At 42.2% G+C, this 22,719-nt stretch overlaps 1 protein-coding gene across 14 annotated transcripts in view, besides 1 other annotated feature; it reads left to right on the plus strand.

Annotated features, from left to right (window-relative positions):
* The window catches only part of AFF1 (ALF transcription elongation factor 1), a 206,029-nt gene that overhangs the window by 177,152 nt on the left and 6,158 nt on the right, over positions 1 to 22,719 (plus strand). For 12 of the 14 annotated variants that reach the window (XM_005263007.4, XM_047415702.1, NM_001166693.3 and 9 more), the window contains 9 exons: positions 2,205 to 3,137; positions 12,875 to 12,981; positions 13,937 to 14,174; positions 14,864 to 14,955; positions 15,481 to 15,541; positions 18,921 to 19,057; positions 19,631 to 19,702; positions 20,109 to 20,246; positions 22,309 to 22,532. In XM_005263007.4, coding sequence (XP_005263064.1) covers positions 2,205 to 3,137; positions 12,875 to 12,981; positions 13,937 to 14,174; positions 14,864 to 14,955; positions 15,481 to 15,541; positions 18,921 to 19,057; positions 19,631 to 19,702; positions 20,109 to 20,246; positions 22,309 to 22,532 — 2,002 coding nt within the window. Of the gene's footprint in view, positions 1 to 2,204; positions 3,138 to 12,874; positions 12,982 to 13,936; positions 14,175 to 14,863; positions 14,956 to 15,480; positions 15,542 to 18,920; positions 19,058 to 19,630; positions 19,703 to 20,108; positions 20,247 to 22,308; positions 22,533 to 22,719 lie in introns of those variants that run through there. The other 2 variants (NM_005935.4, XM_005263013.5) reach the window with 2 other exon arrangements.
* Positions 7,969 to 8,544: an enhancer, noted in NCBI's record as "H3K4me1 hESC enhancer chr4:88041283-88041858 (GRCh37/hg19 assembly coordinates)". NCBI's record gives its function as "activates a minimal SCP1, AML or CMV promoter by ChIP-STARR-seq in naive H9 embryonic stem cells {active_cell/tissue: H9 hESC(naive)}" and the evidence as "EXISTENCE:reporter gene assay evidence [ECO:0000049][PMID:30033119]".

A 22,719-nucleotide genomic window follows, 5' to 3' on the forward strand; every position in this document is an offset into this window, starting at 1 on the left:
TATGTAACCACACCCTGAAGTCTCCAGGAAATCATGTTTGACAAGTGGGTATTGTGTGCTAATCTTTTCTCTACTCTTAACCATTCTGCGTTCTTAGAATATTGAATACGGATTTAGATTACATGTGACAAAATGCCTGCCACATAATAGTGGTTTCCTTCTTCCCTCCCTCTCTGCCCTTAAATTCAGATGACAGCATGAGTATACAGTTGACATAAGCGAAGGAAGCCGTAAGGAAGATAATGTTATCATAAGCAGCAGTATGGGGTAAACAGAAAGAAAAAAGGAATTATGTAGTCATCTTACTGTCCAAAGAATGTTCTTGCCTGGTTTTTTAAGTTTCTTAGTTCTGTTCTGTTAGTCACACTAAACCCAAACTATCTACCTGATCCTTTTATTACCTAACCTTTTCCTGGCCAAAAAGCCTTTATGTCATAGCCACATATTTTGCATCATGGATTTCCATGTTTTATGGAGTTGAATTATTTGGGATGTTCCACTCGGGAAAATTGTCAGCAGTCTTTCTTCCCCTTAAAACCTTTCCATCTACCGGAGTGTTCTCCTTATCTATAATCTAAGCAAATAAATCTGAAGTGGGATGTCTTTCAACTAATTTTCTGATGCATTATGTGTATGACTTATTTCTACAAACCACCTCCCCGAGTGGATCTTTAAATAAATTAGTATTTTTCTTAAGATAAGGACATAAGGACAGCGATGTATAGTCTTTAAAATAAATGTAACTATCACTCACTCTGTTAGACACTAATATTTTTCTATATGATATGAAATTCATGGGTATAGTAATCCACCTAGCAGAATACTCATATATCTCATGCACCCACTATATGCAAGATAGAGTAGTGGAACTTGGAGACACAAGAGTCTCCGTCATTCTTTTAATAAGGTCTAACAGCCGAGCTGGAGAGACGTGGTGGGATGCAACAGCAGTTAATTTATCAACAAAGGTTGAACTAATAGTTAAGGTAACGAGCCAGGAACCTATGTTTTTATGCCACGCAATTGTACATTCTCATTGCCCCTGACGGTATGCCTCCCTTTGTATCTTAGAAACATAGGTGCTGTTTCAGACCAGGTTGCTTATAATGAGAGATTTGATGTATGACCTTTTTTTTTTGAGACCAATGTGTCACTCTGTCACCTAAGCTGGAGTGCACATGGCTCACCGCAGCCTCAAACTCCTGGGCTCAACAATCCCCACCTTAGCCTTCTGAGTAGCTGGGACCACAGGCACGTGCCACCTCTCCTGGCTAATTTTTTAGTTTTTTGTAGCAATGAGGTATTGCTATGTTGCCCAGGCTGGTCTTGAACTCCTGGGCTTAAACAATTCTCCTGTCTTGGCCTCCCAAAGCTGGGATTATAGGCCTGAATCACCGTATTGGTCGAATGTTTGACTTTTAAAGAGTTCACGTGGGATTAATGCTTGGCTAATGTGACCCAGCTGACTTTATCAAGGTATAAAAATTGCAAATCACTGTATACTATATGTGATATGATAACTTTGTCATGTATAAATGTTTACTACATAATGTTTTTAAGTAAATGAGAGAAATGGGCCTGTTATTCTAGTGCTTTGGAAGACTGAGGCAGGAGGATCACTTGAGGCCAGGAGTTTGAGGCTGCAGTGAGCTATTATCATGCCACTGCACTCCAGCCTGGGCGACAGATTGAGACCCTGTCACACACAAAAAAGAGAAATGATCTCATCTTGAATAAAAGTCATCTTTAGTTGAAAAATATGTCAAAAAAAGGATAAAATGTGAGCCCACTAAAAATTTATTCATTAGCTGCCTTCTGCAAATACTTGATGAAATGATTTTTTACTCATTTCCTCCTATTATTCCTTAATAGAGTAGTTCACAAAACAAAATGTGTCAATTCTGTTTAAATTATACTATAATTACCATTAGAATATATTATAAAGATTTCTCAGCAGTTGGCAATTGCCTGTTGATTAATATTTGCTATTACCAAATTTCTAAATCCCACAAAAAAGTGAAGGTTGCTTTAAGAGTTAATTGTTATAGAACTTATAACTTGAGGAGGATGACCGGAACCTAAATTCTGGGTTTGGAAGTATTTGCTCCTCTGCAGGACAGTGTTGTATAATTGGGTGACTAACACAAAAGAATAATTTGTCATCAATGGTCAGTTAACACTTTTCTTTCTTTCCTTATTTTTAGCCTGAGCCTCCAACAACAAACAAATGGCAGCTGGACAACTGGCTGACCAAAGTCAGCCAGCCAGCTGCGCCACCAGAGGGCCCCAGGAGCACAGAGCCCCCACGGCGGCACCCAGAGAGTAAGGGCAGCAGCGACAGTGCCACGAGTCAGGAGCATTCTGAATCCAAAGATCCTCCCCCTAAAAGCTCCAGCAAAGCCCCCCGGGCCCCACCCGAAGCCCCCCACCCCGGAAAGAGGAGCTGTCAGAAGTCTCCGGCACAGCAGGAGCCCCCACAAAGGCAAACCGTTGGAACCAAACAACCCAAAAAACCTGTCAAGGCCTCTGCCCGGGCAGGTTCACGGACCAGCCTGCAGGGGGAAAGGGAGCCAGGGCTTCTTCCCTATGGCTCCCGAGACCAGACTTCCAAAGACAAGCCCAAGGTGAAGACGAAAGGACGGCCCCGGGCCGCAGCAAGCAACGAACCCAAGCCAGCAGTGCCCCCCTCCAGTGAGAAGAAGAAGCACAAGAGCTCCCTCCCTGCCCCCTCTAAGGCTCTCTCAGGCCCAGAACCCGCGAAGGACAATGTGGAGGACAGGACCCCTGAGCACTTTGCTCTTGTTCCCCTGACTGAGAGCCAGGGCCCACCCCACAGTGGCAGCGGCAGCAGGACTAGTGGCTGCCGCCAAGCCGTGGTGGTCCAGGAGGACAGCCGCAAAGACAGACTCCCATTGCCTTTGAGAGACACCAAGCTGCTCTCACCGCTCAGGGACACTCCTCCCCCACAAAGCTTGATGGTGAAGATCACCCTAGACCTGCTCTCTCGGATACCCCAGCCTCCCGGGAAGGGGAGCCGCCAGAGGAAAGCAGAAGATAAACAGCCGCCCGCAGGGAAGAAGCACAGCTCTGAGAAGAGGAGCTCAGACAGCTCAAGCAAGTTGGCCAAAAAGAGAAAGGTGAGTGTGGGGAGACTGCCCTGACTCCAGCGTGGACCATCCTTGCTGTTGGCCTGGCGGTATCTTTGATCGGCCTTTGATTTAGGCCCAGTTGAGTTGTCTCACAAGTCTTTGCTTTGATTCGCTGTAGCCTTTGCATCTTCTTCCAGCATTACCTGTCTGGACTTTGCTTCTCATTCTGCAGATGGGCATTAACACGTGTTATGTCCTTCCATCGGTCTTGCTAGTTTGAAAAAAGGTGAGGCAGTCATTAAAAACAATAGCTTCTTTTAGGATAATGTAGCATCTAGGGCCGCCCCCAACCCACCTCTTTTTTTTTTTTTTTTCCAAAGACAGGCCCTTGCTCTGTTGCCAGGCTGGAGTGCAGTGGTGCGATCTTGGCTCACTGCAGCCCCTACCTCTGGGGTGAAACGATCCTCCTACCTCAGCCTCCTGAGTAGCTGGGACCACAGGTGTGTGCCACCACACCCGGCTAATTTTTGTATTTTTTTTGTAGAGGTGGGGTTTTGCCATGTTGGCCAGGCTGCTCTTGAACATCTGAGCTCAAGTTATCCACCCGCCTCTGCCTCTGCCTCCCAAAGTGATGGGATTACAGGCCTAAGACACGATGCCCAGCCTCATTTTCATTTATTCTTGTAACTGGCATTTACCACCTGACCCATTAGGTTTTGCCTTAGTAGTTGAGATCTGATCTGAATTGAAATGTTAATTCATATTCTGAATTATTAAAAGAACGGCTCTATACAAATTTTACTCTCATAGTAGGATCTTTTATACCAATATCACATCCATATTTTAACGCATGACCATACAACACCTCTTTACAGTTACTAACATGTGGTTAGTGTCTCATTGAGTAATATAGGCTGATAATGGCACGTTGCAAAGTGTTGACCATATCATTTTATTTATTATAATTTTGGAAGATTCTTTTGGATACAGAATGGACAGAGTAACAAAATTGCTGCATTATTTAAGATTGTCTGTTACTTGAACATGCCACTGTTTTAGACAGGCTCCTTCCTTTTATTTTGAATCACTTGAGTTCCTGTTCTGTTTGTTGCTTTTTCATGATGATGAAAGATTAGTGAGTTTTTCCCCAGTAGCATTCCCAAGCCAACTTGCCCAAGAATCAGAGACAAAGTCACAAGAAGGGCCAACTCTCTCCTGCTGAGAAGGAATAAAATTTTTAACACTCTTGTAAGTATGTGAAAAACTTCTTACTCAGCTGTGGAAGTTGAGCTAAGAATAACAAAGGAAAAAAAGATTATGAAGCCTGCTGTCATGTCTGAGATTTGACTGATTAATCCAGTGCGTTAAAAATATAACACGACTTTACCGAATAGTAAAGGGCGACTGCTTTCTTCAGAACCTCCTTGCAGCAGACTAAAGGATGTGTATTGCCGCCATGTTTGCAGCAGGCAAGTTGAGTGGGATGGGATCCAGTGCTAGTAAGTGCTCTGTCTCAGCTAGAAGAGGGCATATTTTCATGCCAGAAACTTCTTTAAACTTTTTGTATGGGATGGGGTGGGGTGTGTGTGTGTGTGTATGTGTGTGAAAGGTACAAAACTTTATGGAGAAAATTGTGATGGACCTGGTTAGGAAAAAGATACCTGCAGCTGATACACCTGGGAAAACTTCAGGAACACACTCAGGTAGCTCCCTGTCCTGGTAAATCTCTCACCTGTCTCCCAGCTGCTGTGGTCTTGTGTGGTCTCCAGTGCTGACCGTCTGCATTAGCTGGAGTGGGGACAGGTACTCACTTCTGAAAGGATTACCTACCAGGTGGCAATGTTAGAACCCGGAGGATCCCCCAGAGAGCTCAGTCCAGTTCATACCCCAGTGCAAATCTAGAAGTGCAGCTTGTGGCTCTAGAAAGGGAAACTTTCAGCTCTCACTGTTGACTGTGGGAACTGTGCCCTCTATAAGCCGTTCCCAGGTTTTGGCTGAGCACCTCTTGGGCAGCTTATTTATCTTTCTGTTTAGAGCATGCAGAAATAGTGATCCCTTCATCTTAATCGAGTGCATGATTTCTTTAAAGCGCTGTCAAGCTGCTGAGAGATCTGGCCTGGGGAACAGTCTGCCTCCGTGGTACTGTCAGGATTGATGTCTGACCCACTGGTTCCAAACCCCGGCTACACATTACATTCACCTGGTAGCCTTTAGCACTGATGACGGGAATCCCCAACCCCCATTGGTATTTTAAAAATTCCTCTGGTAATCCTAGTGCCTATCAGGGCTGGAAACCACTGAAGCAGAGCCGTACTGCAGGGCCCAAGAGCATACAAAGCTAGTTATTTGGATCCAAAGTTGGTCAAGTGTGCAGTGTTTAGACATCATGATCTAGGCAAACAGAATTCCTGGCCTGAAATATGTCACTAGTTAGAAACATTAGAAGCTTTCAGGTAAATAAATATAAAAAACCAGTCAACCGTATTCTTATTTCTTCGTCAGAGAATCATGTGTCGTTTGGTTTAACTTCCTGCTGGATTCTGGATGGGAGTTGTTGAACATATTAATCTCATTATTTTCTGTAGAGGACAGGTTGTCCCCCCTTCCTCATTAGCGCCCTGACTGCTTGTTAGGGCTCTCTGCCTCTGGCCCTGTGACCAGCACGGTTGCTCCAGCAGGCAGCAGTGTGTGGGCCTGCTCTCCATGGCAGAGACAGGGCTGTGAAGCTTGGGTACTGCTCACATTTGGATAATGAAGATATTTTTCATTGTGTTCATTTTAAATGTGAACATTAGAAAAAACTCTGAGCATATAGTCAGAGGAATAGAAGAACTTGCTTGATCCTTCACATTAGTGGTATTTAGTGTTTTTATTTAAAGGCCTCTTAGAGTCTGTCCCTCTCTTGGCACAAAATTTAGCCAAATATTTTCTTTCAGAAGATTTACAGATCCTTGAATCCACTTCAGACTTAAAAGTGTATGAAGATGATCATAAAGAGTTAATGATGGCTAACAGCTGTGATGAAGCCATTAGACATGGCACCTATAGAAATGCACACGTTTTTTTACTACTCTACAACAGTGGGTAAGGAACAATGCATGAGGAAAAGTAGAGAAAACTGTGAGGGTAAATACGCATGACCTCACGTCGTGTTCTTTACATAAACTACTGAATTTCATCAGTCTGATTACAGTTTAGATTTTCTAATACCAACTTATGTTTTCTTTTAAAATTTTTTTATTTTTAGCTTAGAGACTATTCTGTTAATTACTTATTTTTTAGAGACAGGGTCTCGCTCTGTTGCCCAGGCTGGAATGCAGTGGCATAGCTCACCAACCTCAAACTCCTGGGCTCAGGTGACCCTCCTGCCTCAGCCTCCAGGCACATGCCACTGTACCCAGCTAATTTATTTTTTGTAGAGATGGGGTTTCACTTTGTTGCCCAGGCTGGTCTTGAGCTCTGGGCCTCCAGCAATCCTACCTCAGCCTCCCAAAGCAGTGGCATTACTGGTTGAGGGTAGTTGTCTAGCTCCTTGGTGTTTTGAACAAAGAATTGGACAAAATGCACAAAAAACCAAGGCAGTGAAAGCAGAGATTTATTTTAAATGAAAGTATGCTCCACAGGGTGGGAGCCGGCTGAAGCAAGAGGCTCAGGAACACTGGTTCTTCTGGGGTTTATATGCCTTCTAGAGGTTTCCCATTGGTTTCCCATTGGTTCACTCTAGTGGTCCACGACTAGTCTGATTGGTTGTAGGGGGGACCAATCAGAGTTACTTTCATTTTCCACACAGAAAAAGGAGGGGTTATATCTTATATCCAGTCAGGGTGGGTGGGCCTTAGGTTCCCTGCCTCCAGACCCTATTCTCCTGCCTCACTGGGGTTACAGGCATGAGTCACCATGCCTGGCCTATGTTTTCTTCTTCAGAATTCTTAAACCAAGCTTATTTTTTTCCAGATTTGGAAGAAAAGTTGAACTCAAGAACCACAATATATACAGTAATACACAACCAGGCCAGTGCAATTGGGAGCCCTCTAAAAATGTACCTGGCTGGGCACAGTGGCTCACACTTGTAATCCCTGCCCTTTGAGAGGCTGAGGCGGGTGGATTGCTTGAGCCCAGGAGTTCAAGACCAGCCTGGGCAACTCTGTGAGACACTGTCTCTGAAAAAAAAAAATTAGGCACAGTAGCGCATGCCTGAGGTCCCAGCTACTCGGGAAGCTGTGGTGGGAGGATCACTTGAGCCCAGGAGTTAAAGGTTGCAGGGAGCTGTGATTGAGTCACTGCACTCCAGCATGGGCAACAGAGTAAGACCCTGTCTCTAAAAAAAGAAAAATAAACACGTAACGTGCATAGAGCTACATGTGTGAGCCTTGCATTGTTCTAGGAGCTCATAGAGATAATTCCTCACTTCATTCAGTCATCTTACAGATTCCTTTCAAATGAAGGATAGTCTGTCTTAATTGTCATTTAGATGAATAACTGAATAAGGAGGTGCATTCATTCAAATCTTTTTTACTTTTTCTAAATAATCGCTTTGCTGACCAAGACACTTCAACTTTTTTGGGAAAGACATTCCAGTGCTATCATTTATGCGTTTTGAAGAGTGAGGAAGGGAAGTTATGATGTGTAGTAGGAAAATGCAGTTTTATTGCAGGGAGTGATTGGTTCAGTCCTTCCCTTCCATCCAAGATCTGACTGTCTTTTCTTGGGTTATTGCTCCAGATCAGCACCCCTAGTTATCGTTCAAAATGAAAGCTCATCCCTTCTGATTGACTAAGGCCACTTACATCTAAATTTCTTCGTGCCTGTTAGTTACCCTGAGGAGAGCACCACAACCATATGCATGTGATAGCTTAGGCTGTTCTGAATCATGCGTTCCCTCACCAAAGAGAAAAACAAGTGGATGAATTTCCCTTTTCTGTAGCACTCACCCCAGTGAACATAACCTGTCTGCACAGCAAGTCCCTGGGCCTGATCTTGGTACAAACTTGAATTGGTGTCCCTTGTGTCTTTTTCATATTGAATCTCCTTCCGAGGCGAATCACAGGGAAGTCCCTGAATTTCCCCAAAGACTGCTTCTCCAGTTTTCTGTGTTGCATGTGCTACCAAGCTCATTTGCTTCCTTTTGGAAGAGGATAATAGAGCCTTAGAATTTAGGTGCGGAAAGAACCTTAGTGGTCCCTTGATCAGCTGCCACCTTTTATAGATGAGATCCAAAAAGGCACTAACATGGCTTGACTGCTGAGTAAAAATAGATCTGCAGCTCAGGCATGCTGCCTCCTCCCAGTCCCGTGAGCTTTCCTCTTTTTCACATGTGTTTTCTCCGTACAAGTGTCTGTTGGGAGGATTCTCAAGAGGCGCACAAGGTCGGCGTACTGGCTCTGGCGCTGCCGGTGAATAAGGTGGTTACCGCGTCAGCCCCGGCTTGGTTCCTCCACGGCCCCCACCACTGCCACTCAGTGCCCACACACATTCCTACTCCACTTTAGCTACTCCTGCAGATGCTCCCATCTTCCTTCACAGCCAAACTCCTGGTTCACTACATCTTTCCATCTGCTAGAATCTCTATGGCACCAAATAAGTGTCAGTTCTGGAAAAAGCCACCTTTTCCCTGCTTCCTACAAGTGTCTGCTTGGTGAGCTGGCTGCACGGCAGCGCAGCCTGCCGAGAGGCTTTCCCTGACGGAAACTGACTTGGCCCCTTGCAAGCCCATGTCTTCCTTTTATGGCCTTCACTCTTGCCCTGTGCTCCACTGTGGGTGGAGCAGCATCTGGCAGAGATGATCAGGGCTGCCTGACCCAACAGGTTAAGAAAAGCAAACAAGTCTGTGAGGACCAATTCGTCAGCCGGCAGCCTCCCTTTGTGGAAGGTGAGGCACCATCCTTGAGACAACTAACCTAGTAGAAAAAGAATTTCTGAAACCCAGACCTTAAGCCAGATTCCCTGAAGTGGGGATGACCTGGGGATAAACCACAGGGCAAAGGGACTCCTTTTTCCTCCTGAAGAGAGAGTATCACCTCATCTGAATGGCTTCTTGACCCAGAAAAATCTAAAGAACAGCATGCCTCCTGTTTTACGGCAGGTCTTGTTCTTGGAATTTTGGTCTGCATTTCTGCTCACCCAATATTGCATGGCTCCCATGTTAATGACCCTTTCCTACATCCATCCACTTAAAGTTGTAATGCAGTCCTGCATCCAGTGCCCTCAGCTGTGTCCCTGAGCTGTTAAGCTGAATTTCTGTGCCAACTGACAAATACCGAGTGCCTACTCTGGGGAAGCCTCTGTGGCTGTTCCAGACAGAAGATGACAAAGTTCTAAGTGCATAGTGTACAAAAAACCACTAACTTCATGCCCGCTGGCTTGATCTCAACAGTTAAGCAAAATCAGCAGAAGGGGACTTTTGCTTTATTTAGTTTGATGGCTTCCTTTCTACCAGCTTATAGAATATTATCTGCTTCTAGGTTGCTAAATATCAATATAAAGCATATTATTCCAGTAAGTGCCAATGCAGTTGTTAGATGCTGGCGCTGAAGTTAGTGCTCACTGCATTCTCTCTTGTTGGCTGTCTACTTGAGTCACCGATTGGCACAGCCAGAGCTATAACCAGTCTGTGAGGATTGATTTGCCCTGACTTGTATCTTCATGTGTGGTCTATAAGGTCTGCCAGATTGGCTTATAGTCACAACCAGCATGTCCTAAGCAAAATGAAACTATATGAACAAAAATCAGCTCTCATTTCACTGCTAGACTTTGGTGTTTTCTTTAAGAAGTAGCCTTGTTAATGCTTAGTTTTGCCTTGGGGGCCTTAATGTGTCATTAACTGCCTGGAAATACCTTTCATTTAAAAAAGTATACTTTAGTACCTAATGTTCAATTTAGTATCGATCTGGATATTTTAGCAAATTTTGACTTTTCAAAGACAAAGTTTCTGTCTTGTAATGTTTCTTGGGCCGGCTATACTGCCTTTCATCTAAAACTCACTACAGTTCACTGGGCCGTTTGGTAACAGGGTAACCTGGGCATAATTAGGTGCTTGATTGACAAGAGAGTTACCAGTACCAGAAGTCAGGTTCTATTTTAACCCCATCATTTCCAATTGATTGTTTTTCTCTCCACCATTATTCACTGTCTCTCAAGTGTTAGCACTCTGAGTTGTTGAACGGAGGTTTGTATGCTGCGCAGAGCCCTGTCGCAATGCCCCAGCAAGCTTCTTGTTGGCATGTGGCCACTCTAAATTGTGCTCCAGGATCTGCTATGGGTCCATGCTTGCAGGAGAAACAGCTGTGTAGAATTTCCTATTGCATTTCATTTGTGGGTTTAGAACTCGGTTGCTTATTTCATATTGTCTCCCTTTTCAGTCCTTCAAGGTACATTTTTCCAACTTCTCTAATGAATTATTACATTTCTGAGTAGCTGATATGTTTTTATCTTATCTAAGCAGTATATTTATAATTCCTTCTTTGCATTGGCTAATCTGATTAGTAGTTCAGAACCCAATTTTCAGATTGTCTATAGCAAACTGTGAAGAACTGTGCTGTCAAGTAGAAATAGAATATAAGCCACATATGTAATTTAAACTTTTCTAATACCACATTAAAAACTATAAAAGGGGAGGAAATGGAAAATTAGTAAAAAAAAAAAAAAAAAAAAAAAAATTCTTTTTGAGACAGTCTCATTCTGATGCCCAGGCTGGAGTGCAGTGGCGCAATCTCAGCTCACTGCACCCTCCACCTCCTGGGTTCTAGTGATTCTTGGCCTCAGCTTCCTGAGTAGCTGGGACTACAGGCACGCACCACCACACTCGACTAATTTTTATGTTTTTAGTAGAGATGGAGTTTCACAATGTTGGCCAGACTGGTCTTGAACTCCTGACCTCAAGTCATCCATCCACCTTGGCCTCCCAAAGTGCTGGGATTACAGGCATGAGCCACCGCGCCCAGCCTAACATTTTAATAATTATATCTAATCCAGTATACCTAAAAGATTACTTTAATCAACTCCCAAAATATGTAAGTCTGTTATACATCAGTAAAAAAATCAATATAAAAATATTACATTCTCTTTTTTCTACTAAGTCATTTCAGACTAACACCATTCAAGTTCAGGTGCTCCCTAGATGTGGCTGTGGCTGCAGCTGCCAGATGGTAGCATGCAGGACAGTGAGAACTGATAGCCTCCCGAGGGTACGAGCCTTCACTTGGCCTTAATTTATTTCTTCCTCCTGTATTTTCCCTTCTTAACATTCTCACTTGTGCACATGCCGCAAGATTAAAAACAGGTATCTTTGTAAGCCACTCTGAAGGAAGCCGTTTTGAAACAAGACACTGCATAAATGAATAAAAGTGTCTTTTCCAAAGGAGCCTGTGAAGGGCTGGATGGATGTGCAGATGCAGGCACACTGATTTGTAGGATGCCAGGAGAAGGGAATTTTGTTTTTTTTCTGTTTTCTATTATTTTGTGTGGAGCCAGGCTGCTTATTGGTGTCTGGGCAGATTTGGAGCCTACACATCTTAAATTATTCATTTTTCTTAAACTCGGGAGGAGAGGAAGACACAGGAAAACTGGGACCTCCCACAGTTAATTTGAAGTTTTTTATTTTTTAAGAGAGGATTTCAGGTTTGTTAGGGATTGTCCTAAATTGACTGGTGTCCCAGATTTCTAACTTGGTGACCTGACACTTAGGAAGTTTCGTTCTAAATGCACATGAGAATTAATTGAAGGGTCTCACCCATCACTTACCTGCCACCTGCTAGACAGTATGTGGGCTTCCTCCTGAACCCAGAGCCATGGGAAGGAGGCCGTCAGGGAGTCTGCATGTCAGACTCCTTAGAAAGCTGGTGTATGTGCTAACAAGTGAGGCACAAGAATGCAAGAAAGACTTTCATCGTGGAAGAATTCTGTGTTGTTTTAGTGATTAAATGTATTTAGCACTTTAGTTGGTATAAATGGATGCTTTGAAGGTACTTAAATTCTTTTTTCTTTTTTTTAACCCTACTTTCAAGCTACCAAGTTAGAGATACTTAAATTCAATAGTGACAGATTCCCTTTTCCTTACTCCCACTAAAATATTTACAGTCTTTTCAGGGTTTTTTGAAAAATAAAAACATGTTTCTGTATATGGAGAGATATAAAGACAGTATTAAAAAAATTGAATCAGTGGAGGGGAAAAAATGTTAGCTAGAATCCCAGAGCAATTGTTTCTATTGTTGTTATATATCTTTGTAGTCCTTTCTGTAAAATACACGGGATTTTGTAGACGGTTTCCTTTCAACATTGTACTTATTTTTCAGTAGAAAATAAAGTAAGCTTTAAGTAGTCCATTTTGAATTTTATACAAACAATAAACTAGTGGGTTTAAGTGGATGGTTCTTTCGAAAGAAGTTGGAGGAAACCTCATAAAAAATCATCTCTGTATTATTTGATGTAAATATGCATGTTTTGTGGATTCTTTTCTATTTAGAAAAACATCAGTGGTCTATTGAAGTCTACTTACTGGCATTGTCTGTTACTTTAGGCATCTTCGTTTTCTTGCATGGGAGGAATTGTTTTTCTTCGTGCAAAAAAATCTGTCTCAATAGAAATTATATCAAATCTACATTGTCCCCTGCCCACTCCCCATCACACTCACACACAGACACACATGGTAAGTACTAAGAAGGTTGCTGTGCGTACAGAGATGTCTCCAAAGGTTCCTTTACCCTCTTTGCCTTTTCTATATTTTCTTTTCTGTTTTGTCTGTACAATTATGTTGGTAATAATTTGCTTTGCTGATTATACTGTAATAGGGTGAAGCAGAAAGAGACTGTGATAACAAGAAAATCAGACTGGAGAAGGAAATCAAATCACAGTCATCTTCATCTTCATCCTCCCACAAAGAATCTTCTAAAACAAAGTGAGTATAGAGATTAGCAACCACCTAATCTACGGTGATCAACACTTCTTGGGTCTTGACATAGCAAAGAAATTTTTCTTCTGCACTAGAATCAGTGGATTAATAAACTCAAGCTCATTTGGACAATGTAATAAGTTTGTTTTTCTTTCTTGCATCCATGAGGACCTTACAGGAATTAACAATTCATGTGGCAGCAAATTTAGATTTATCAGAAACATTTTCACTATGGACAATTTCTTTAGACATCTGGATTTTTTTTTTCCCTGAGGGAAAGTAAGAAAGGTACCCTTATTTCTACTTTGCAGAATTGGAAACAAACACACAGAGAAAATGACTTGTCCAAAGTCAGAGAATTCTTACTGTGTGTTGGAGCCAGCATTTGGACTCCGGGAGCCTGTGTTCAGTGCTCCTTCTTTTAGAGATGACTGAGAATCTGTCAGACCACTCAGTGTCTGTTGTTGGGAAGAGGGGTGGCAGGTGAGAAGTGGTAGTGCCAGGAAGACGTAAATATAACAAGCAGCTATTATTTACTGTGATTTACTCAAGAAATTGCTTCAAAAAATGTATTGGCAAAAACAAGTGCATAGTGTCACCGTGTGGGAACCGACAGAGATGGGGAAGGCTCAGATGTGGAGGGTGTGTGTCCACTCGTCTTCTTGTCAGGGAAAGGCACCGGTTGGGAAGCAGCTGAAGCAGGCGTTCGGAATGGTTGGGGAAAGTCAGGACCACTGGCAGACTCTGCAAGCTTAGAAACTATACAGCTTCATTTATCACTAATGGGTAGGGCTAGATTTTTGAAATGCCTCAAAAAGTCCCTGAAATTTGGCCTGTTTACACAGTTTCATGCTTTGTGATACCCTACTCTTTTGTGCCAGCAGCCAGTTTGTAACTAAACAACGAAGCCGCTTGATGTGTACTTTGCCTCCTCTTAGTTTTACGTGATGTTTCACTCCAGGCCCTCCAGGCCCTCCTCACAGTCCTCAAAGAAGGAAATGCTCCCCCCGCCACCCGTGTCCTCGTCCTCCCAGAAGCCAGCCAAGCCTGCACTTAAGAGGTCAAGGCGGGAAGCAGACACCTGTGGCCAGGACCCTCCCAAAAGTGCCAGCAGTACCAAGAGCAACCACAAAGACTCTTCCATTCCCAAGCAGAGAAGAGTAGAGGGGAAGGGCTCCAGAAGCTCCTCGGAGCACAAGGTGAGCAGGGGCGGCGGTCACTCTGTAAGATGGGATGCATTGCTGTACCTTTACGTTCCCAAAGAAGACAAGTTGCTAGTGATGGCACTTCAGAACTGTCCATTGCTTTTAATGAGGCAACTGTTTGTGTTTAAAATGCTACTTTTTGGAGGGAGAGTAAAAGGTATTAATAATACACAAAGATTTAGGTGTCGATTTATTCTTCTTACAGTGATTTCAGAGGTGAAAAATCAAAATAGATTTTTGTGCTAGTTTTTGTTAGGGTGTTTTACAGTAAGAAATAGTTACCCTGTGTAGTCCTGCTTTGAATGTTTGATCTCAGATACTTTCATTCTTGGTTATAGTGGGGAAAAAATGATCCACTTTCTCAAATAAAAGTTCTTCTCTTCCTGTTAATCTGGGTGGAGTGGAGTGGTGTGTTTGGATTGACTAAGAGAAAGTGTTATGTGTGGCTTTGTGAGTTCTCTGATCTCTTGGACATTCTAGTCTTTTTGAGTCCCCAGTACAATCAGAACCACCGCTTCAGTTGAATCTGTAGCTGAGGAAGTGTTTAGCCAGGGTAGATTGTGCATTGTTTGATTTACTCTTTTTTGAAACTACTATTTCGGGCTATTTAAGAGGGATGGTACTTTTAGGACAGTGGTCTTAAATGTTAGAGTGTAATCTGTATATTGATTTTTTTTTTGAAGGGTTCTTCCGGAGATACTGCAAATCCTTTTCCAGTGCCTTCTTTGCCAAATGGTAACTCTAAACCAGGGAAGCCTCAAGTGAAGTTTGACAAGTAAGACTTCAGATGATTTCTTCTTGCTCTGTTTTGTTTTGTTTTGCTTCCCCCCCCCACCAAGATAGAGTCTCACTCTGTCACCCAGGCTGGAGTGTAGTGGCATGATCTTGGCTCACTGCAACCTCCACCTCCCGGGTTCAAGTGATTCTCCTGCCTCAGCCTCCCAAGTAGTTGGGACTACAGGCATGAGCCATCATGCCTGGCTAACTTTTTTTGTATTTTTAGTAGAGACGGGTTTCATCATGTTGGTCAGGCTGGTCTCGAACTCCTGACCTCAAATGATCCGCCTGCCTCGGCCTCCCAAAGTGCTGGGATTACAGGCGTGAGCCACTGCACCCAGCCACTTCTTGCTCTTTCTTCCTCCATTTCCTCCTCCCCTCCTTATTTCCACTTCTCCTTCTTTGTTTACCCTCTCTCCTCCCCTTGCTGTCCTCCCATCCTTTTTCACTCTTGGTCTTATCTTGCCCTAGTCTAGTAATTTTTGGCTCATATGACCTGTCCCTGGTTTTTCCTCTTTTTCAGACAACAAGCAGACCTTCACATGAGGGAGGCAAAAAAGATGAAGCAGAAAGCAGAGTTAATGGTTAGTATTGGCCCTTTATCTCTTTGGTAGAATGTTTTCTGATAGTAAAAAAAATTTTTGGTAGTCTCCATTCTGCTGTATTCCATATCACTCAGCGTATGTGCGGTGGAAGGAGGGGGTGCAGCAGGCGCAGGAGAAAGGAGTGTATGGGCCCTACCATTGGCCACAACATATGCACGCAGCAAAATCAGGACCTTAATGATTAAGGGGTAGGTGGTTCTTAGTGGTGGTATTTTCTTTGGCTCCATTGATTCAGTCTGATCATGGGCAGATATACAAAGGACCTAGTCACAAGTTTTGTATCTAAGTAAGTCAAAGTTAATCTACCTGCTGGTGATTTAATGCATAGGTGCCTTTTTATTCCACTGCATCAATTCTTTGGATGTGAAAAATGAGCCCTGCTGTTGAAACTCAGTCAACGTGTGTTCACTCTAAAACATTTCACAAGGCAGGAAGCCTGTTTACATTCCAAAATTATCTTAAAGCCTTCAGAGGCTGACCTGAAGGAAGAGTTGAGCTAGGCTATTAGATGAGATTTTAAGATGAAGGTAATGATTATACTGTTGGTAAACATGCTTTAAAAACATGAATTCTCTTTACCTATTGGCTTTTGGACTTTCTAAAAGGTGGTGGTTTTGTAGTTAATTGTGTACATAATTATGCTTTTACATCACTACTGCAATAATGAGATAATGTTTGCCCTTTGTCATATTTAGATATCCAAGACTCTGGGGCTTTTGCTTATGTAGTGAGTTCCTAAACCTAAATCCCCACAAATGCAAAAATGCAAAAACCTCCCTGGAAAGCCATATGTTGAACTTTGGTACACAGAGGAAGGGCATGAGTTGCCTTTTTTGGTTCACATGCAAACCTAACTACACATTTCAGACACCCACAGGGGTCTGAATCAGATTGATTCATGGTGGCCCAGCCCGCAAGATCCTGGCCTGGTGCTCTTCAACCCTAATCTGCAGACCTGTATCTCTTCTCAGACTCTTTCATCAGATACCCTTGCATTAGGCAAAATGTTGATTCCTTACCATGCTCAATTCTGTAAGATAGTCAAAGACAAGCCTCTCTAGCCCTGTTCCTAAAACTGCGCTGTACCAGGGTGACCTAAGTCAATTAAGAATCTGAGATTGTGCCAAGCAGTGGTTTCAGCAGCTTCCATTTTTCCAAGATTATTACTGGAACTGTATGAATCTTTGGAGTTTTGGAAAGAGTAAATATTTCGCACTGTCAGCCAGTTATCTAAAACTTATCTTGACATTGGATACTTTCAGTACTAAGATTTCTCGTTATTCAAAGGAGTAATATTCATACTCTAGGGAACTTTGTTTTTAATCTATTCATATGCATACATTCTTTCTCCTTACCTAAGGTGACTGTACATCCCAGTGTGCCAGGACAGTCCTGGTTTATGCCTGTTTCATCCCAGTTTGATAAATAATTATATCCCATTTCACTCTTAAAATATGCCAGCTTGGACAGTAAGCCCCTGTGGCCCACCCACTCCATAATATTCTCCCTTAATAGCATAATGTTTCAAAGATGTGCAGTTGGTGTTCCAAATAGTTACCTATCCAACTGAGTAGAAAGGGATGTATTTCTTCTCTACGTTATCTTCAACTGATGAGTGATGAGGGAAACTACTTTAACAATGTTTCAGGAGATACATGGAATCACAGAAATATGGACGTTATTGGCCTTATGATATACTTATCTAAAGGAAATGGATATTGACAAATTGCTACACAGTATTGTAGTTTAGTTTATTTCTAGCCTAAAGCCAATATTAACTTTGGAAATCCCATGAAAGAGATGGTGTTGAATAAGTATATTTGGAGAATTCAGTTCCATCAGTGAAGCAAACCGGTCATGCCAAATACTGCTGATTAATTGGGGAATACTCATTTGATTTTTGTTCTGTCACTAATCTGAGCCTCGGTTCTCTAGAGAAAGTATTTTTTGATTAAGTTACCTTTTAAAATAAAAAATGTTAGAATAATTGAATATTCTGAAATATACATGTATACTACATGTGTATATGTATAGCAGCCTAGTTCATTCTGCTACTGGTAAAACATGAGAACAGTATGCACTAAAGTCATTCTGTTGTCAGCTCACTGGGAGAAGCGTTGTTTCTGCCCTGTGTAGAGTGCAGCAGCATGCCTAAGTAGCATGACAGCCCATACCGCTCTCATTGCTGACGTGTCTCCAGCTCCTTGTATTCCACTTACATCTTTACTATTTTCTTTCTTTCTTTTTTTCTTTTTCTTTTTTTTTTTTGAGCCAGAGTCTTGCTCTGCCACCCAGGCTGGAGTGCAATGGCATGATCTCGGCTCACCGTAACCTCTGCCTCCCATATTCAAGCGACTCTCCTGCCTCAGCCTCCCAAGTAGCTGGGATTACAGGCCTGCTACCACACCTGGCTAATTTTTATATTTTCAGTAGAGATGGGATTTTGCCGTGTTGGCCAGGCTGGTCTCAAAATCCTGACCTCAAGTGATCCACTCACCTCAGCCTCCCAAAGTGCTGGGATTACAGGCGTGAGCCACCATGCCCGGCCCCTATTTTCATTCTTTCCTTTTGAACATATCAAATACAAAGCAGAAATTACAAATGCTAATCAGTTGCTCTCAAGGTCTTCATGGGCAGTACATACGCCACATGTAGAGAGAAAGACAGTTGCATCACACTGTCATCAGCTGCACTTGCCATATGCCACTTAGAAGCGTGCTGTGTGACAAAGTGTGTATTCAGGGTGTAGGGTGACCACCAATATCTGATTTTGTTCATATTTCTACATTCCCTTTAAGGGACTCTGAAATGTTACCCCTGTTGGCCTCGGAGGATGGTTTTGTGCACTAAAGCAGATGTCAAAGGAGGTTAATCTATTGGGCTGTAAAATGCATATAACAATTATTGTTGGCTATTATGTCTAACATGCTCATAAACCATGATGAGTGTTTTCTTTTTAATAAACTTCAGCACGCACAAAGAAATATGCGTCTGCATTACTCCAGACATGTGGAATAATCTGTTTCTCAAGGAAGTTATAGAATGAGTAATTTGACACTAATAACAAGGAGACTATGTACTTACTGCCTTAGTTTGCGTATGTGCTTTCATAAGGCTTTGAGAGCATGGTCTTAATACGGGATCATTTTCTTTTTCCTAATGAATTTTTGCTAAAATAGTTTTCAGCAGGTCATAGCTGACAGGCTTTGGTTATCATTTTTAGTTCATTCATCCTCACACTTCTCCCTGGCCATAATTAAACTAAGACAGTGGAGGAAAGTCACACTAAAGAATGTGGGTGAGAAACTAAATCAAGGTTTGTCTTCAGCCTAACAATGACCATGTTCTTCTCCTGCAGACGGACAGGGTTGGAAAGGCTTTTAAGTACCTGGAAGCCGTCTTGTCCTTCATTGAGTGCGGAATTGCCACAGAGTCTGAAAGCCAGTCATCCAAGTCAGCTTACTCTGTCTACTCAGAAACTGTAGATCTCATTAAGTAAGTGCCGAGTCATTGTGCTTTCCTCTTAAGTCCTTTTCTTTCCTCACCTTTATTGTTTTAATCCATTTGAACCTTAGTGTGAAGATGGCTCAATAAAGGGGAGCCTTAAAAAAGTTATTGGTCTAAGAACTAGTGTTTGTCCTGAAGTTGCGTTCTAGATGAAGTGCTAGCACAGAATAACTGGGTCCAACTGCATCATTTTGCTAAGTGCGCCAAGAAGTGCCAAAGCTTTGAGGGAGATTGGTTTTTCCAGTTTAGCTTTTTTATGAAGTGTCCTCTCCTCTCAGTTTAAGCCTTTGTTTACTTACCTACATTTCAACAGGGGACTCAGTAAGGACACAACTTCACTTGGTTTCAAGAGGTAGACAAGCCACACAAGAGACGTGTACTCACCTAGTTTTCTCAATGGCCTGGATTGTTGCTCTAAAGCCTTGGGTTTTTAAATTTTTTTCCTGTGATGCTCTCATCTCTTCTTCAGGAAAAGTCAATATAAAATGGAAACAAGCATAGTAAGTTGTATTTGTGTCTGCCTTTGTTTAAAACCTGATGTACTTTTATATTTTCCTATAGATTCATAATGTCATTAAAATCCTTCTCAGATGCCACAGCGCCAACACAAGAGAAAATATTTGCTGTTTTATGGTGCGTATTTTCCTTTGTCTAAATAGTACTAAATTTGTTTTTGCATCTGTTGATGTTACAAAAAGATTCTGAAATTTGTTTTCTTAATGTGAAAATTATGAAAAGCAAGTCAGTACTTTGGTCAAAAGGTTAATCCCTCACTGATAGTAATTCTTATAAAATGGTATCTGCTGCCATTTTTCTGATGGCTTGGTAAATGCTTTGGTCTTGTGATATAAATTATATCCTTGTGTTTTCTACCAGCATTTACTTTTGGGATAGTATGAACAGAGCAGTAAGATACTTTACATACTAACTCACACAGGTGAGGCAAACCCGGTGTGTTCATTAGGCTATAAAAGGTTAGATGGCTGCTTTTCTGTAGTATGATAGTCACGTGCAGTTTCACTTCTGTCTTTGTTCATAGCATGCGTTGCCAGTCCATTTTGAACATGGCGATGTTTCGTTGTAAAAAAGACATAGCAATAAAGTATTCTCGTACTCTTAATAAACACTTCGAGAGTTCTTCCAAAGTCGCCCAGGCACCTTCTCCATGCATTGCAAGGTAACTCTAAGTCTAATATAAATAATTTCCAGAATTGAGTCATTTCTTTATTTACTTCTTGCTTTTGCAACCATTTGTATGCTTACATATGTCACTTTGCCTTTTCAAAAATTGTTGGCTTCATCTGTTTGCTGGTTGCTCCTAAATTTAAATTATTAGCATATTTCTACCTTTTTGAGAAATAGTTATAAATCAAGGTTTTTGCTGATTGGAAAACATAAAAAGGTAATTGCAAAGAATATAGAATTGAAATTTTTGAGCTTTGAGGTTTTTGTTTGTTTCTTTGTTTGTTTGTTTTTTGAGACAGAGTCTTGCTCTGTCTCCCAGGCTGGAATGCAGTGCTGCAATCTTGGCTTACTGCAACCTCCACCTCCCAGGTTCAAGCGATTCTCCTGCCTCAGCCTCCCGAGTAGCTGGGATTACAGGCCTGTGCCACCACCATGCCCAGCTAATTTTTGTATTTTTAGTAGAGATGGGGTTTCACCACATTGGCCAGATTGGTATCGAACTTGTCACCTCAAATGATCTGCCTGCCTTGGCCTCCCAAAGTGCGGGGATGCCACAGGCGTGAGCCACCGCACCTGGCCGAGCTTTGAGGATCTTTAGATAAGCCTAAGAACACAAAACAAGAGGCGGAGCCAACAGAACCAGAGCCAGAGTCCTTTCTCTCTCTGTATGTATGGACATAGCTTCTTGGCATTTCAGTAAACAAGAAATTTCCAGAGCCATATGCCACACCAGCAATACTAAGAATGAAAATGATTATCTTTAGCAAAATTTTTTTCCCCATTTTGTGAACTAAAATTGTTCATGTATGCTGTAAGTTATTAGAAAAAAAGAATCCTTGTACAAGTGTTTTTAAAGTGAAGCTGGAATTTTCTTCCCTGTAGTCCTTGCCTAGTATTTTTTAATTTGGTCATACTCCTTGTGAAGTTCCTAGTTCTGATAAGCTTTGCTATTTTAAGAATATCACTTACACGACTGCCCTATTTCTAGCACATTCAAAAGAAGAGACTCCCATATGGCCTCTCTTAAAAAAGAAAGTCCTGATTAAGAAGCAACTTCGTATTACCTCTGAAGATTTTCATGGCTGCTGCATTGAGATATTATTCTAAGCTAATAGATTGTCAATCACATTATTTACATAACTCCTTCAATCATTTGTCCATCCAGTATATACTGAGCACCTTCTTCATACCAAGCCTTGTTTTAGGTACTGGGGATACAGCAGACAAGAACCACTGCCCTCATGGAGCTTTCACTCTACTCCTTGCAAATGTACATTCTGCTAGGTCCGTGCAGCCCAAACGGCAGGTGTAACATCATGAGGCTACTGCCGCTGAACCATCATCTTTCCATTTTATATTCATTAACTCTTTTTTATTTAGTCCACATTGAGTCACATGTTAACTTGCAGGTCCAGATATTCAGCCAAGAGTGGAGTAAAGAGGAGATAGAGTCTTCTGATGCATGATACTTAATATTAGTTCATTCATTGGCTCAGCAAGTATTTATCAGGAGCCTACTTCTAGCACCTATTGTGCTAAGTGCTAGTAATGCAAAAATTAGTGAGACATTATTTCTGCTGTGGCCCAGGAAAAGGAATAAACAGTAGATAAATGTAAGAAAAGAGAGATGTTCAAGTGGTGGCAGAAAGGAAGCTGTGATATATCCAGGGTATCCACAGTGTCTAAAAGAATGCATGGTACAGAGCAGGTGCTCAGTTAGTGTTTACTGAGTGGATGAAAGGATGAAATACAGGTGGGTGCACACACATACCTACATATGCATACATTACATACATAGAGTATTGTCTTACTAGGAGATTCCAGGCAGAGGAAGTAGACTATGCGAATGGCATGGGAAAGCATATTTGGAATACAGATTAGCCCAGCAGGGTGTCTCGTTGACCTTGTAGGAGTGACTTTAGCAGTGGTTATCATTTTGGCAGGTGTATAGTGAAACTTTGTGTCTTGGACTGTAGTTCCAGACACGTAAATCTGTGATCCAGGGGTCTACTGGTGACTGACTGATCAGTTATCTCTTCTCTTCCACCTCCCAGAAGCACAGGCACACCATCCCCTCTTTCCCCAATGCCTTCTCCTGCCAGCTCCGTAGGGTCCCAGTCAAGTGCTGGCAGTGTGGGGAGCAGTGGGGTGGCTGCCACTATCAGCACCCCAGTCACCATCCAGAATATGACATCTTCCTATGTCACCATCACATCCCATGTTCTTACCGCCTTTGACCTTTGGGAACAGGCCGAGGCCCTCACGAGGAAGAATAAAGGTAAATAAATGGCTTTGTGGTGGTAATTACTGGGGTGTTTGGATTGGGAGGAATAAACATTGGTTTATATTTTATAAGTTCAGTTTCTTGGAGAAAAGGGAATGTGTAGCTGTTTTACTTTAATTATATTTTCTCTATTCTGCCTCAAAACCTAGTTGCGGTTGTTCCTTGAGCACTGTGGCATGGA

This window comes from Homo sapiens, chromosome 4 (assembly GCF_000001405.40).
Source record: "Homo sapiens chromosome 4, GRCh38.p14 Primary Assembly".
In the NCBI taxonomy this organism is placed as follows: domain Eukaryota; kingdom Metazoa; phylum Chordata; class Mammalia; order Primates; family Hominidae; genus Homo; species Homo sapiens.